The sequence below is a fragment of the Homo sapiens genome, chromosome 13 (genome assembly GCF_000001405.40).
Source record: "Homo sapiens chromosome 13, GRCh38.p14 Primary Assembly".
NCBI classification, from domain to species: Eukaryota; Metazoa; Chordata; class Mammalia; order Primates; family Hominidae; genus Homo; species Homo sapiens.
In genome coordinates, this window is record NC_000013.11 from 45,483,645 (window position 1) to 45,497,251 (window position 13,607).

The following is a 13,607-nucleotide window of genomic DNA, read 5'->3' on the forward strand; positions in this document are numbered from 1 at the left end:
TCTTTTTCATGAAAATATTAGAAGGAAATATACCAAAATCATAAAAGTGGCTGTGTCTGAGTGGTGGGTTAATGTGCTTTTGAAGCATATTCATATTCATATGCAAAATTATGCATCTCATAATGCATAATTTAAATTTTCTTCTTTACCCTTTTTTTGTATTTTTCAACTTTTCTATATTTAGCAAACATTTTTATTGAGCACTGCCTAATGCTTGATATTATATTAGGAATTGTATAGAAACAAAGAGGCGCTAATAAGGTCCCTGCCCTCATGGAGCTTATATTCAAAAGAAATAACCAGTACAGAAAGAAGCAAATCAATTAGTTAATTATGGATTGTAGTTGATTCTAGGTGGAAAATTAACAGAGTGTAAGGTTAGAAAATAAGAGTAGAATAAGCTAAGATGGTCATTGAAAATATTCCTTTCCTAAGAAAATAAAATCATAAACGTTATGTTTTGGTTTTTAAGCTTGCTTTCTAAAGAACGTGGAGTGTCTTCTTGAACTTTCCATGCAAAGCTTGTGATGTTTGGCTTGCATTTTTACCGTTCACATTGTTCTTAGCTGACATACCAACTAACCTATATTTTTTTTTATTTTTTGCAAAATTTTCAGTAAGTTTAGGAAACTAATAGCTCATAAAGACTGGTACCTATTATGTGCTAGTGCTTTGCTATTGAGCTGCACCAAACCTTTAGGAGTTTAATGGATGCACTGAGTCTTAGAGGGATGAAGTACTTGGGCCAGTGTCCTACATTCAGTGAGTGGCAGAATGTGAATCTCAATTCAGATCTGTTTACCACCAAAATTTAAATAATGTAAGGTTAATTTTAACTATAAAGGAGAGAGAGATGACAGTTCCATTTAATTATTTCTCATGTGTAGCCATAATAATATTTAATCTTCCTGAGATTTTTCTCCCTAAGCTTGCTTATTTATTTATTTATTTATTTATTTATTTATTTATTTTTTTATTGATAATTCTTGGGTGTTTCTCACAGAGGGGGATTTGGCAGGGTCATGGGACAATAGTGGAGGGAAGGTCAGCAGATAAACAAGTGAACAAAGGTCTCTGGTTTTCCTAGGCAGAGGACCCTGCGGCCTTCCGCAGTGTTTGTGTCCCTGGTTACTTGAGATTAGGGATTGGTGATGACTCTTAACGAGCATGCTGCCTTCAAGCATCTGTTTAACAAAGCACATCTTGCACCGCCCTTAATCCATTTAACCCTGAGTGGACACAGCACATGTTTCAGAGAGCACAGGGTTGGGGGTAAGGTCACAGATCAACAGGATCCCAAGGCAGAGGAATTTTTCTTAGTGCAGAACAAAATGAAAAGTCTCCCATGTCTACTTCCTTCCACACAGACACGGCAACCATCCGATCTCTCAATCTTTTCCCCACCTTTCCCGCCTTTCTATTCCACAAAGCTGCCATTGTCATCCTGGCCCGTTCTCAATGAGCTACTGGGCACACCTCCCAGACGGGGCGGTGGCCGGGCAGAGGGGCTCCTCACTTCCCAGTAGGGGCGGCCGGGCAGAGGCGCCCCTCACCTCCCGGACGGGGCGGCTGGCCGGGCAGGGGGGCTGACCCCCCCCACCTCCCTCCCGGATGGGGCGGCTGGCCGGGCGGGGGGCTGAACCCCCCACCTCCCTCCCGGACAGGGCAGCTGGCTGGGCAGAGGGGCTCCTCACTTCCCAGTAGGGGCGGCCGGGCAGAGGCGCCCCTCACCTCCCGGACGGGGCGGCTGGCCGGGCGGGGGGGCTGACCCCCCCCACCTCCCTCCCGGACGGGGTGGCTGCCGGGCGGAGACGCTCCTCACTTCCCAGATGGGGTGGCTGCTGGGCGGAGAGGCTCCTCACTTCTCAGACGGGGCAGCTGCCGGGCGGAGGGGCTCCTCACTTCTCAGACGGGGTGGTTGCCAGGCAGAGGGTCTCCTCACTTCTCAGACGGGGCGGCCGGGCAGAGACGCTCCTCACCTCCCAGACGGGGTCTCGGCCGGGCAGAGGCGCTCCTCACATCCCAGATGGGGCGGCGGGGCAGAGGCGCTCCCCACATCTCAGACGATGGGCGGCCGGGCAGAGACGCTCCTCACTTCCTAGATGTGATGGCGGCTGGGAAGAGGCGCTCCTCACTTCCTAGATGGGATGGCGGCCGGGCGGAGACGCTCCTCACTTTCCAGACTGGGCAGCCAGGCAGAGGGGCTCCTCACATCCCAGATGATGGGCGGCCAGGCAGAGACACTCCTCACTTCCCAGACGGGGTGGCGGCCGGGCAGAGGCTGCAATCTCGGCACTTTGGGAGGCCAAGGCAGGCGGCTGGGAGGTGTAGGTTGTAGTGAGCCGAGATCACGCCACTGCACTCCAGCCTGGGCACCATTGAGCACTGAGTGAACGAGACTCCGTCTGCAATCCCGGCACCTCGGGAGGCCGAGGTTGGCGGATCACTCGCGGTTAGGGGCTGGAGACCGGCCCGGCCAACACAGCGAAACCCCGTCTCCACCAAAACCAATCAGGCGTGGCGGTGCGTGCCTGCAATCGCAGGCATTCGGCAGACTGAGGCAGGAGAATCAGGCAGGGAGGTTGCAGTGAGCCGAGATGGCAGCAGTACAGTCCAGCTTCGGCTCGGCATGAGAGGGAGACCATCGGGAGACGGGAGACGGGAGACGGGAGACGGGAGACGGGAGACGGGAGACGGGAGAGGGAGAGGGAGAGGGAGAGGGAGACTCTCCCTAAGCTTTGATTGGTATGCAGGCCAAGCAGTAGCCATAGGAAATGGTTGCTGTTGGGTTTTCTGAATTATTTGTTTGCTAATTATCTTCCTTCCTTATCCTCCCCCATGTTTCTTTAGGATCCTTCATCTGTACCTAATGCAGACAATGCCTTCACATTATTTTATGTGAAATTTCGAGCTGCTGCCCCCAAAGTCAGAGTAAGTCTATTGACATAACTAGGACATTGCTATGAAATTTGTTCATCTGCCCTTTTGAAGTACTGTTGTATGTTAGGCTCTTTGTTTATACCGAGGAAGTGAACTTGAATGAAAGGTTGACATTGTCCTTCCACATTATAGCAGTGTATCTTAGTGTTGTGTCTAGGTTCTTTAAGTCCACAGAGCAGGAAGCATCTAGCTTTTCCTGTGATGCTCAGGGATGGTTTCTAGATGAAGGTGATAGACGGGTTTTAAAAGCTTGGCTGGTGGTCTTGAAGGGACCAATAAGGTGTTTTGATAAAGAGAGAACAGCACATATAGGGAAGTTTGTAGGAGACATAAAAGACATACATTTTGGGAGAGATCTTTATACTACAAAGACTCTCTCACGAGGGATGTTACATGTCGTGCTAATTTAGGAAAAGTAGAGAACCAATGAAGTGGTATCTTAAACAGAGGAGTTATTTGGTCAGATTTGCCAAACAGACATGTAAACCAATGGAACAGAATAGAGAGCTCAGAAATAAATGCATGCATTTTCAGCCAACTGATTTTTGATAAAAGCACCAAGAACATTTTGTGGGGAAAGGATGATTGCTGGGAAAACTAGATATTCATATGCAGAAAAATGAAACTAGACCTCTGTCTCTCACTGTATACAAAAATCAAAACAAAATGGATTACAGACTGAAGATCTGAAACTATAAAACTACTAGAAGAAAACATAGGGGAAATGTTTTAGGACATTGGTCTAGGCCAAGATTTTATGGCTAAAACTTCAAAAGCATAGGCAACAAAAACAAAAATAGACAAATGGGACTATAATAATCTTAAAATCTTCTGCCCAACAAAGGAAAACAATTACCAGAGTGAAGAGACAACCTGTAGAATGATAGAAAACATTTACAACTATTCATCTGACAAGGGACTAATATTCAGAATATACAAGGAACTTAACAGAAGAAGGCCCCAAATAATCCCATTAAAAAGTAGGCAAAGAGACTGAGTAGACATTTCTCAAAAGGAGACTATACAGATGGCCAGCAGGTATATGAAAAAATGTTCAACATCACTAATCAGCAGGGAAATGTAAATCAAAACCACAGTGAGATGTCATCTCACCCCAGTTAGAATGGCTGTTATCAAGAAGACATAAAACAAATGCTGGTGAGGATGCAGACAAAAGGAAATTCTTATACACTGTTGATGGGAATGTAAATTAGTACAGCTGTTATGGAAAACAGTATGGAGATTTCTCAAAAAACTAAAAATAGAGCTGTCATACCATCCAGCAATACCTCTACTGGGTATTTATCCAAAGGCAAGGAAATCAGTATATCAAAGGGATACCTGTGTTGATTGCAGCACTATTCGCAATAGTAAAGATATGGAATCAACCTAAGTGTCAATCAGTGGATGAATGGATAAAGAAAATGTGGTATATATAAACAATAAGATACTATTCAGCTGTAACAAAAAATGAAATCCTGTCATTTGCAGCAACGTGAATGGAACTAGAGGTCATTAAGTTAGTAAAATAAGCCAGATACAGAAAGACAAATATTGTATGTTTTCACTCGTATGTGGGAACTAAAAAAGTTGGTCTTGTGGAGGTAGAGAGTAGAATGATAGATACCAGAGGCTGGGGTGGGTTGGGTGGAGGGGAGGTGGAGAGGTTGGTTAATGGGTATAAATGTACAGTTTAATAGTAGAAATAAGTTCTAGTGTTCAGTAGTGTAGTAGGATGACTGTAGTTAACAATTTATTGTATATTTCAAAATAGCTAAGAGGGAAGATTTGAAATTTTCCCAGCACAAAGAAATAATACATGTTTGAGGTGGTGGATACTCTAAACACTCTGATTTGATCATAACACATTGTATCCATGTATCAAAATATCACATGTACCCCATAAATATGTACAATTATGTATTAATAAAAAAGATTAAGGATGCAATATAAAAAATGGATTATGGTGAAGAGAGATTTGAGACAGGGAGGCCTCATTACTAAGGAAGATTATGCAGTAATCCAGGTGAGATTAGGGGGTGAATTAATGCATTGGTAGGATATTTCATGAGGTTGGGTATGTGCCTTATTCATTCTACGTAGCAGGAGTCCATGATGTATTTATTTGGATTAACTGATAGCATGGAGGGGGCAAAGATCAATATATGTTATATTTTATAACATATCTGAGATACATTTAATTGAAGCTGGTGCATATATATTCTTTCTACTCATTGTGAAGTTTCTAGAAATAATAATCTACTTTTGCTTACTGACTTCACTTCCTTGCTTGTTTCTGTCTTGAAAGTCAGCCAATTGATGGCTGGGTGCAGTGGCTCACACCTGCAATCCTAGTACATTGGGAGGTCAAGGAGGGCGGATCCCTTGAGTTTAGGAGTTTGAGACCAGCCTGGGCAACATGGCGAAACCCTGTCTGTACCAAAATTACAAAAATTAGCTGGACACGGTGGTGTGCACCTGTGGTCCGGCTACTTGGGAGGCTGAGGTGGGAGGACTGCTTGAACCCAGGAAGTCAAGGATGCAGTGAGCCAAGATAGCACCACTGCACTCCAGCCTGGGTGACAAAGTGAGACTCTGTTTCAAAAAAAAAAAAAAAAAAAAAAAAAAGAGCCAGCCAGTTGAAAGGAATTTTTTTTGACAAAGTGAGACCCAGCCTCAAAAAAAAAAAAAAAAAAGCCAACCAGTTTAAAGGAATTTTTTTTTTGAAATGGGAGAAACTTAGTTTTGTTTATAGAATATATATGTGGAATATGTATACAACCTAGATGTCTAACAGATGTCTAACTGGATGTCAGTTTATGGCATGAAGATTTAGATTGTGCCTGATTGATTGCTTTTGCTTATTAGCCAAATACTAATGATAAAAATTTGATTAGAAAAGAAAAGGTATAGATAAGAGGGCTCAGTGTGGTGGGTAATTATAAAATGATTATATAGTTATCAGTGGCTTTCCTACATACCATTAGTAACAAATTAATATATGTGATGGGGTCCCATTTATATCAGTGACAAAAAGCATAAAATACTTACCTAGCAGTAACCTTAACAAACATAAGGATGAAGAAAATGACAAAACTAGACAGAAAATTATAAAAGACTGAGTAAATGGTAAGCCCATCTTCTTCCTGGTTGGGGTGATTTAATTTTTAAAATGTCACTTTCTCCCAGAGTAATTTGTTGGTTAGAATGTACTCCTAGCAAAAATTCCAATGGATTTTTTTTTTTTTTTTGCATGATTCTAAACTTGATCTGGTAAATAGGCAAGACTAAAGAAGAAAATTTTGAAAAATACAGTGTCATTGATTCAAGCATTCACTGACAGATTGGAATGGAAAGTTGTGGTACTTAATATATTAAGAAACATCCCAAATAGGAAGGACTGGAGTTTTCTACACGGTATTGGGAAGATTTGCTAAATATTTGAAAAAATAGTAAGCTTTTTACTCTATAACATTACCAAAATAATATATTCTAAGTGAATATATTCACTTAGTGGAAACTATATGCAAGTTAAGGCTGGGTGACTTTTGTCTGTCATAAATTGGCAGATTAAGGTCAGTGCTTCTGAGGATTTATGAGACAGGCAGTACTGCTGATAGGAATGTAATTGGATTATTTTCTAAAAAACATTTTAGAAGAATAGACCAAAAACCCATAAAAATACATACCTCTTTTGACCTGGTGTTTTGGGGTCCCCACCTGGGAGGTAGGTGTTATTACACCAGTTTTATACAGTAGGGAGTGGAATCTCAGAAGTGAACCAGCTTGCCTGGGCTCAAACAGCTACTAAGGAGCGGGTGCTGGAACCCTCTAGTTTCACTCAAGGCTCTTCACAAATGGGCTCTGATTCTTCAGAAACAACCTAGATATCAGTAGAAATGGGATATTATGTAGCCTTTTAGCATAATGCTTTAAATCATGCTTACAATGATTCATTGAGTGTTGACTAGGTACCAGGTACTATGCTAAGGCCTTCTATACATTTTTATCTAGTATTGAAAAGTATTTAATCATAGGAAAATGTTTATGAAATAATGTTAATTTTTAAAAAACAGATTATAAAGCAGAATATGTAGTATAATTACAGTTTTACTTAAAAAGAAAAATATAGGAACTGTGGATATAAAAAAACTGAAAGAAAATATACTGAAATGCTGTGGTGAATTTTTGGTATAAGTGATTTTTATGATTTTTAACTTTCTTATATTTACAGTTTTTCTGAATATGTGATACAATTAATATTATAATCAGAAAGTAATGGATAATATAACAGAGATGGTTTTTTGATGCATTTTTTCTTACTTTGCAGACTCTTATTGAACAAATAGAACTGCGGTCTGAAAAAATACCTGAGTGAGTACCTAGAAGTTAATCTGATTTCCACATGAACCTTTGTCTTGTAGTACTGTTTTTCCAAATCTGGATCTCTGATATTTTATGAGCAATTGCCTTCCAGCTTGTTCTTGTAACATACCACTTATTTTGGGGAGCAAGGTCACAGACTTAGCCAGTTTACATGACAGCAGTTTTTCCCATACTAGGATTTGCTTCTTATTTGGGCAGATGTGGGGTCACTATACTTGGAAAAGAAAGCTTTCTTTAAAAGATAAAGCTTATGGCATCACAGTTCATTATGGTTTGCTTTTGTTTTGTGTCTGTATTTCTAGTATTAAATAGTTAATGTGGGCAAATGAGAGGTGACCGTTATAGCTTTAAAAGAGGTTTGGCAACCTACACTGGGATTTAAGATGAAATTTAGTTTACATATCTGAAATGAAAAGTTTAATCTCATTTGCTTTCTGTCAGATACCAACAACTGCTAAATGATATCCACCAGTGTTACCTTGATCAGCGGGAGCTCCTTTTGGGCCCTAGTATTGCTTGCACTGTTGCAGAGTTAACCAGCCAAAATAATAGAGATCACTGTGCCTTGGTAAGTTTCTACTTGTTTTGGTTTAATGTTAAATCTTCCTCTTGAGTTATGTTGATATCCTAGAAACTATACCTGGTTAAATAAGATTTGGGGCCCATAGTTAACTGAAAAAGCATGTTTTTCATTATGACAAATCTAGTTTGGTAATTAGCCTTATTCACCTTTGCAAAATATTCTCATTTTTTACTTATTTTTTGAGATAAGAAGATTCACAAATAAATATTGTTCTTGAAAAATGAGATTTCAAAGTTTGTAGATTTATATTAACAATTTAGCTTTTGCTGCAGAAGTGCTTTTTTGTTTAGTGTAATTTTATTCATACTATAAATTTTTTTACTATAAAAAATGCATAAGCGCTCTTTTTTGAAATGCTTTTGAACTAGAAAAGTAATTTGTGTTTATTATGAGAAGTTTAGAAACTAAAGCATTAAGAAACTAAAAGTCACCTATAATCTCATTATGCAGTCATCTATCGAAAACCAACCATTTTCCGTTCTTCAGTAAGTTGTTTTAAGAGTGTGTATGTGTTATCTCTGCACATAAAGTGTAGGCTTTATTTCATAAACATCAGAAATGTTGTGTGTCTTTAACTGTAGGTGGTGTGTGTTTGTTTACTGCAGGTTCGTAGTGGCTGTGCCTTCATGGTTCATGTCTGCCAGGATGAACACCAACTTTACAATGAATTTTTCACAAAACCAACATCAAAATTAGAGTAGGTGGACATGGAATCTAACTCTTGTTCATAAAATTTAACTTGCTAATGACCATAATGAATCAGTATATTATAGGAGTATTCTATCATTAACTGGAGAATGTTTTAACTTGTTTGTGTCTGTGAACAGAATATTGTTGGGTGGGACAGATATTTTCTTAAAAGTTATTTTCTTAAATGTGCAACTTAACATGCTTTTGTATTGTTTGTAATGTAATTATTTAGATATTATGGTGTGATAGGAAGAAATCTATACAGAATTCTGTAGCCTCGGGATCTAGATCCCTTTATCTCCACTAAGTACAATAATTCCTTCTAGTTAAAAAATTCTATGATTCTAACTAATGAAAGATTTAAAAATACAGATACTATTTAATAACCTTTTCTTTATTTTTCTCAAAATGTCTTTCAGATCCACTGTTAGTCACTTTTGGTTTCTTAATGTTCACTCTTTTGACTCTTACAAACATTCCAAGCTCATGACTCTTGTAATGAGGAAGAGAAAAGTATTTTATGGTTTTAGTTGAAGTGATCACTTTTGATGAAATTCTGTGTAGAAGAGTACCATTGACAGTATGAAGCATATAGACAACTTAAGTTTTTCTTTTTAAATGTTTAAAATTTCTCAAAATACTTGGCGTATGACCAAAGTACTTTGAATTTTGTTTATCTAAATCTATAAGTATTCAATAATTTTAAACTTGTCTTTCCTCGGGGAAAAAGTTACCATTTGATTGATAGTGAAGTAGAATATAAAAGGTAATTAAGTCCTCTGAAATACTTTTTATTGTTTTTGAAAGGACATATAGAAAATTATTGCTGAAATAGATAAAAGTTGTAATAGGTTGACTTTTGTTTGGGGGCAGCTACTTTGAATTGACTGCTGTGGATTGCTTGATTCTGAGCTTTTAAAGCAAAAACTGTTTATAGAATTACTTTCAGCTTTTCCCTTATCATTCTATAATGTCCTCAGATACTATTTTCCAGTAGATACTTATTGTTCTTATTGACTGGAAGAAATCAATGAGGATTTCTAAATTATTACAAAATCCTGAAAAAACTACTACTAATAGACATTTTTATTCTTTCATTTTAGTGAGCTTTTGGAGAAACTGTGTGTGTCATTGTATGATGTCTTCAGGCCATTGATCATTCATGTTATTCACTTAGAGACTCTGTCGGAACTTTGTGGGATTCTTAAAAATGAGGTGCTTGAAGATCATGTGCAGAACAATGGTAAATGAGTAGAAATGATCATTTTAAGTTATATCACTGGCTCAATGAATTTGAAAAAAAAATAAGTGCTTCTTCCCTCACCCCACTAAATAGATAAATTTAATATTTTTGAAGCTTGGCTTGATGCCTTACCCCTTCTTGAATGAAGTTGCACCTTATTCTGTCACTAAAGACACAATCAGATAGGGAAAGAATCTTAAAATCTGGGTAAAATTAGTAATAAAATAATTATAGTCAGTTTTCTTTCTGGCATCTGGAATCCAGATAGAACACATCGTTACTTTTGGGTTAGGCATTTCTAGCACACTGTTACCAGAATACAAAATACATAAATAAATAATTGAATATATTGTATACTTTTGATTAAAAAACAGGAATTGTTTTGTGTATATTCATAATAATAGTTGATCTGTTTTGAAATTACAAATAAAGAAAAGCGGTTCTCTGGAATAGCTCTACTTTGTCCATCTGATACATTCTTCAGTATTTGATTTGATTGTCATAGAGAACATGATTTTCCTAATAGTACCTAGGTACCTTTAAAAAATACCCTTTAGGCCGGGCATGGTGGCTCATGCCTGTAATCCCAGCACTTTGGGAAGCCGAGGTGGGTGGATCACCTGAGGTCAGGAGTTCAAGAACAGCCTGGCCAACATGGTGAAACCCCGTCTCTACTAAAAATACAAAAATTAGCCAGGCCTGGTGGCAGGCGCCTATAATCTCAACTACTCGGGAGGCTTAGGCAGGAGAATTGCTGGAACCTGGGAGGGGGAGGTTGCAGTGAGCCGAGATTGCGCCATTACACCCCAGCCCAGGCAACAACAGCAAGACTCTGTCTTAAAAAAAAAAAAAAAAAAACAACCTTTCAAGTAATTATTCTACTCACAGAATTTATTGTCCTCAGTTTGGCTTTCATTGAGACACTAATTTGTTACTCTTCCAAAGTTACTCAATTGCATTTAACTCATTCATTTTCTCACATTTTACTGCTTCTAAATTTTTTATTGCTTCTGATTTTAAAATTCATATGGTTTTTTTGTTTTGTTTTGGTTTTTGAGTTGGGGGTCTCACTCTTGTCATCCAGGCTGGAGTGCAGTGGCACCATCTCGGCTCACTACAACCTCTGCCTCCCGGGGTCAAGTGATCTCCCACCTCAGTCTCTTGAGGAGCTGAGACTACAGGTGCATGCCACCATGCCCAGCTATTTTTATATTTCTTTTGTAGAGAGGGGGTTTTGCCATGTTGCCCAGGCCGGTCTTGAGCTCCTGGACTCAAGCAGTCTGCCCTCCTTGGCCTCCCAAAGTGCTGGGATTACAGGTGTGGGCCACTGTACCTGGCCAAAATTAATGTGATTTTTTTTTTCTTTTTTTCTCTTTTCTTTTTTTTTTTTTTGAGACGGAGTCTCGCTCTGTGCAGTGGCGCGATCTCGGCTCACTGCAGCCTCTGCTTGCCGGGTTCAAGTGATTCTCCTGCCTCAGCCTCCCGAGTAGCTGGGACTACAGGTATGCACCACCATGCCCAACTAATTTTTGTATTTTTAGTAGAGATGGGGTTTCACCGTGTTGGCCAGGATGGTCTCGATCTCTTGACCTCATGATCTGCCCGCCTCGGCCTCCCAAAGTGCTGGGATTACAGCCATGAGCCACCACGCCTGGCCTCTTTTTTTTTTTTTTTTTTTTTAAATAGAGATAGGGTCTCACTGTGTTGCCTAGGCTGGGCTTGAACTCCTGGACTCAAGTGATCATCCTATCTGCGCCTCCCAAAGTGCTGGGATTACAGGCATGAGCCACCATGCCTCGCCTAATGTGATTATGTGTTATCTTTAACCCCCTGTCTTTTGGAAAGCTGTTACAGGATTACTAGTGTGTCTTAACATTGATGGCATCTTTTTTATTTATTTATTATTTTTGAGACAGGGTCTTACTCTATTGCCCAGGCTGGAGTGCAGTGGCATGATCACAGCTCACTGCAGCCTCAACTTCCCGGGCTCAGGTGATTCCCAGCTCAGCCTCCCAAGTAGGTGAGATTACAGATGCACACCACCACGCCTGGCTAATTTTTTGTATTTTTATGGAGATGGAGTTTTGCCATGTTGCTCAGGTTGGCTGATCTTGAACTCCTGGGCTCCAGTGATCTGCCTGCCTCAGCCTCCCAAAATGCTGGGATTATAGGTGTGAGCCACTGCGCCTTGCTGATGGCATCTTAGAAATAAAGAAATACTAAGTAAACTCATACTTTATTTTACTTTTTACTTTTCTCTGTGAAAATGTTAACAAGTCATTCAATATCTGTGGTACTCAATTTATTTGTAAAATGGGGATGATGATAGCCCAGTTAATAAGCTACCTTAGCAATTTCTTAGGCTTGGTCTGAAGCTATATGAAATAACTTTTAAAGAGCAAAGCACTCTTAAAATTCAGATTTTATTATTCATATTAATAATATAATTAAACAGAGTACTGCCCAGTTTTAAAGTTGAGGAAATTGAAAGACATTTATTAAACTTTTCCAAGCTCATTGAGTCATGCTGAAATAGAATACAATCACAGCCTCTGAAGCAAAAGTGGTTCATACTGTTTCTGAACAATTTAGTAACATCTTTGCTTGTTTAAAAGAAAGTGTTTTTCTAAATCTAAAAGAATGGATGATTGCACTTTTTTATCAGCTGAGCAACTGGGGGCATTTGCAGCTGGAGTCAAGCAGATGTTAGAAGATGTACAGGAGCGGCTCGTCTACCGAACCCACATCTATATTCAGACGGACATCACGGGCTATAAACCAGCTCCTGGAGATCTGGCATATCCCGATAAGTTAGTCATGATGGAGGTAGGATCTCCTTACTTGATCTCCCGTCTGCCCCCACACAGCTTTTAGATGTTTTATTTATTATTTTTTTAAAAATTTATATATTAAAATAGAGACAGGGTTTCCCCTTGTTGCCCAGGCTGGTCTCGAACTCCTGAGCTCAAGTGATCCACCTGCCTCGGCCTCCCAAGTGCTGGGATTACAGGCGTGAGCCACTGTGCCTAGCCTAGATGTTTTTTACTAGTTAAAATGGGATTTTTCTTTTTAATTCTTCCTCAAAATGTAAAATCAAGATAAGTTTGCTATAAAAATTAAAGGAGATAAAATTTAAAAGAATTAAAAATAGTTTGTTAGGTTGTCTTTCCTTCAAGTTATGTTTTTTTGTTTTTTTTGTTTTTTTGAGATGGAGTCTTGCTCTGTCGCCCAGGCTGGAGTACAGTGGTGTGATCTCGGCTCACTGCAACTTCTGCCTCACGGGTTCGCGCCATTCTCCTGCCTCAGCCTCCCGAGAAGCTGGGACTACAGGCGCCCGCCACCACACCCGGCTAATTTTTTATATTTTTAGTAGAGATGGGGTTTCACCGTGTTAGCCAGGATGGTCTCAATCCCCTGACCTCGTGATCCGCCCGCCTCGGCCTCCCAAGGTGCTGGGATTACTGGCGTGAGCCACCGCACCCGGCCCCTTCAAGTTATGTTTTATAAACATTCTATTCCATTCTCTTCCCATTGGCAGGAAATACACGTTCTCAATTTTAAAATTGAGTTAGTGATCCCTGTGATTTCTCTTTAGAAATAGAAGAAGGTTGATAATGTAGAAGCCACCAGGTTGATGGTGATGATGTAACCGTGTGTCATGCTCTCTCATAAAAACCCTGGAGGCCGTCTCCTCAAAATTATACCGTACAAGTGTCCAGTTTATGGTTTGAAGACTTGGGTTTATCTTCCTGATCTTTCAGTTCC

At 39.7% G+C, this 13,607-nt stretch overlaps 1 protein-coding gene across 4 annotated transcripts in view, besides 1 other annotated feature; it reads left to right on the forward strand.

Moving 5' to 3' along the window:
* The window catches only part of COG3 (component of oligomeric golgi complex 3), a 71,763-nt gene that overhangs the window by 18,706 nt on the left and 39,450 nt on the right, over positions 1-13,607 (forward strand). For 3 of the 4 annotated variants that reach the window (XR_429222.5, NM_031431.4, XM_047430702.1), the window contains exons 8-13: positions 2,851-2,931; positions 7,271-7,314; positions 7,768-7,894; positions 8,515-8,606; positions 9,703-9,842; positions 12,508-12,668. Coding sequence is in view for 2 of the 4 variants with exons in the window: in NM_031431.4 (NP_113619.3) it covers positions 2,851-2,931; positions 7,271-7,314; positions 7,768-7,894; positions 8,515-8,606; positions 9,703-9,842; positions 12,508-12,668 (645 nt within the window). In the remaining 2 variants the exon portion in view is untranslated. The remainder of the gene's footprint in view (positions 1-2,850; positions 2,932-7,270; positions 7,315-7,767; positions 7,895-8,514; positions 8,607-9,702; positions 9,843-12,507; positions 12,669-13,607) is intronic. The other variant, XR_007063702.1, reaches the window with a different exon arrangement.
* Positions 897-1,399: an enhancer, noted in NCBI's record as "NANOG-H3K27ac hESC enhancer chr13:46058676-46059178 (GRCh37/hg19 assembly coordinates)". NCBI's record gives its function as "activates a minimal SCP1, AML or CMV promoter by ChIP-STARR-seq in primed H9 embryonic stem cells {active_cell/tissue: H9 hESC(primed)}" and the evidence as "EXISTENCE:reporter gene assay evidence [ECO:0000049][PMID:30033119]".